Source organism: Homo sapiens, chromosome X (assembly GCF_000001405.40).
Source record: "Homo sapiens chromosome X, GRCh38.p14 Primary Assembly".
In the NCBI taxonomy this organism is placed as follows: domain Eukaryota; kingdom Metazoa; phylum Chordata; class Mammalia; order Primates; family Hominidae; genus Homo; species Homo sapiens.
The window spans coordinates 45,644,393-45,647,348 of NC_000023.11; positions in this window are offsets into that span (position 1 = coordinate 45,644,393).

The window sequence follows — 2,956 nt, forward strand, 5'->3', positions numbered from 1 at the left end:
TATAAGTCAAACCATGTTGTGATACCAAAAAAATATATGACACACCACCAGACTTCATAAACTTCAATGTTGTTTGAAATAAATGGGCTTTGCATATCTCAAACAATAATGCTGCCAAAAAAGTCTATATAACAAAATAGTAAATTGAATAAAACCCCAAGTCAAATGTTTCCTATAGTCAAAATATACTATGGAATGGAAGAAAATAGAAGAGCTAAATACCTGAAGCTGCAATGGAGAGAAGAGAGTAGGACTTGACTTTCTTCTTGGTAGATGTCACATAATTTGAATTGGCAGAGGAGAGAAACAAGCACCCGGTAGACAAAGCGTAATCAAAGGCAAGTGTAGTGAATCCTGTTTCCCTCTGGAAATGGAAGTTCTTACATACACTTCCACTGTTTTATGCCCTTTTCTTCCTGTCTCAACCTTCTCCTGCTTATTTGCCCCTTCATGGCTCATTGAAACCCTGTCTGGCAGCTGTGTTCATCCACCACTTGGTTCTCAGTCACCCAGAGACAACTCAAGTACGTTCTCTTCCATTAAGAAGGCTTCCCAACAGTTGTGATCATCTTTTACAACTAGATATCATTTTGGCATCAGCAAATTGAAATGTTGCCTGAGTGTACAAGAGGACAGCTAAATCTGATGGATCCATTGTTGAGATGATTGAGCCAATTAAGGTAGTAAAGATTGATGTAAGTGCTTTCTCTGGGCACCGTCAAACATGGAAGGGTAAAATGTAGAGCTAAGGAAAAGTGTGACTGACTGCAATTGATTGATGAGACCATTGGGTCCCACTGAAAGTGTCCTAAAAGGGAAGCCAATGGGAAAAAGTAGTATTTTGTGGGGTTTATTCTCAAAGTAGAGCTGTATAGGATTTTACACAGTGAGATCAAGTGGAGAAGTAATTGGAGTTCACAAATGACATGGTGAAAGCTGTTATGATGTGTCAGGAGTGGACATAAAGAAGAGGAGATAGATCTGTCATATTGCCAAGAAAGATTTGCAGAACTTGATGACGGTGGCCAGGCATGGTGGCTCATGCCTATAATCCCAGCACTTTGGGAGACTGAGGTGGGCAGATCACTTGAGGTCAGGAGTTCGAGACCAGCCTGGCCAACATGGCGAAGCCCTGTCTCTACTAAAAATACAAAAATTAGTCAGGCCCAGTGGCGGGTGCCTGTAATCCCAGCTATTTGGGAGGCTGAGGCAGGAGAATTGCTTGAACCTAGGAGGCAGAGGTTGCAGAGAGCCAAGATCATGCCACTGCACTCCAGTCTGGGCGACAGAGTGAGACTCTGTCTCAGAAAAAGAAAGGAAAGGAAAGGAGAGGAGAGGGGAGGGGAGGGGAGGAGAGTGGAGGGACTTGATGACAGTTACCATAGAAAACAACAGTTACCATAGAAAACAACTTGGGTTGCCTCATTTCTAAAGTGAGAAAATTAAAATAGATGCTTAAAAAGTTTCCTTCAAACTATATAATATCTATGAGTCTAGGATACTCAAGGGGGAGAAAAAAATTAAAACCTGGTATGTTTCTGTCTTAGCTCAGGCTACTGTAACAAAATACCCTATAGACTGGGGGACTTAAACAGCAGGCATTTATTTCTCACAGTTCTAGAGGCTGGGAAGTCTGATCAGGATCAGGGTGTCAACATAGTCAGGTTCTAGTGAGTACCCTCTTTCTGGCTTGTAGATGACTGCCTTAATGTTATGTCCTCACATAGCAGAGAGAGAGAGAGAACTAGCTCTCTGATCTCTTCTTATAAGAGCACTAATCCTATCATGAGGACCCCACCTTCATGACCTCACCAAAGCCTAATTACTTTCCAAGGGCCCCACCTCTTAATACCATCACATTGGGGATTAGGGCTTCAAAATATGAGTTTTGGAAGAAAAAAATCATTCAATTCATGAAAGTTCCCTTTCTGAGTTTTCTGTTGTTGAATTCTACCACACTCTCAAACACACAGTATTATTAAACTGTGGTTATGTTTCCAGATGTGTTCATGCAGGCCGTAATTATGTTTACCATGGAAGTATACTTGCATTGTGCAAGCATATACATTGCTTTCCCCCTCAATAAATTTGAGCAAGTTTTCAACTGTTGTTTTCTGATGTTACGTGTATGTGTGTATCAGCTAGGGGCAGATTTGGCTGAATGCAACATAAAACCCAAGCAACAATGTCTTAAACACAATACAAATTTCTTTTTCATATAATAGAAGTGTGGTGATAAGTTGTTTAGAGCTGGTATGGCAAGTCTACAGTTGTCAGAGACTGACGCCCCTTTACTCTCTGCTCTTCCATGGAGAACAGCTTCCATTTTCAAACTGCCTAATTGTCCAAGATGGCTTCTAGAGTTCCAATAATCTAGGCATCAGAAAGGAGGAAATGGAGAAGGAGAAGAAAAAGTACATTTCCCAATTGAATCAGCACCCTTTAAGGAGCTTTCCATGGAATGCCACACAATTCTATTTACATCTTATTGGCTGCCCCTCTCTGTAAGAGAGGGTAGTTTTTAGCCAGGCACATTGTTCTCCCATTAATACAAGGTTCTGGTAATTAAGAAGGTGGGAATGGATATCATCTCTGCCATAGTATGCTTAGTAGTTAACAACATAGTATTCTGAGTATTGAGTTCTAGATCTCTCAGGACTATTTTATAAAAGGAAAGAAACAAGAACATATTGTCTGAATCTTGCTATTGACATCAAAATAAGCTATCCCATATGTCTGCAAAGTGACTTTTTTTCATACTTTGTTAAATTTTCCATTAACTACAGAGAGTTGCCTGATTGTAAAGTTGATCTTTAGGGATCGGGAAATGACACCACTGAGCCACTGTCCACTAAAACTGTATTTTGACTACTGTTGTGTTTTGAATGTCTGTGTCCCCCGCCACCAAAATTAGTATGTATGTTGAAGCCCAATCCCCAATGTCATAGTATTAGAA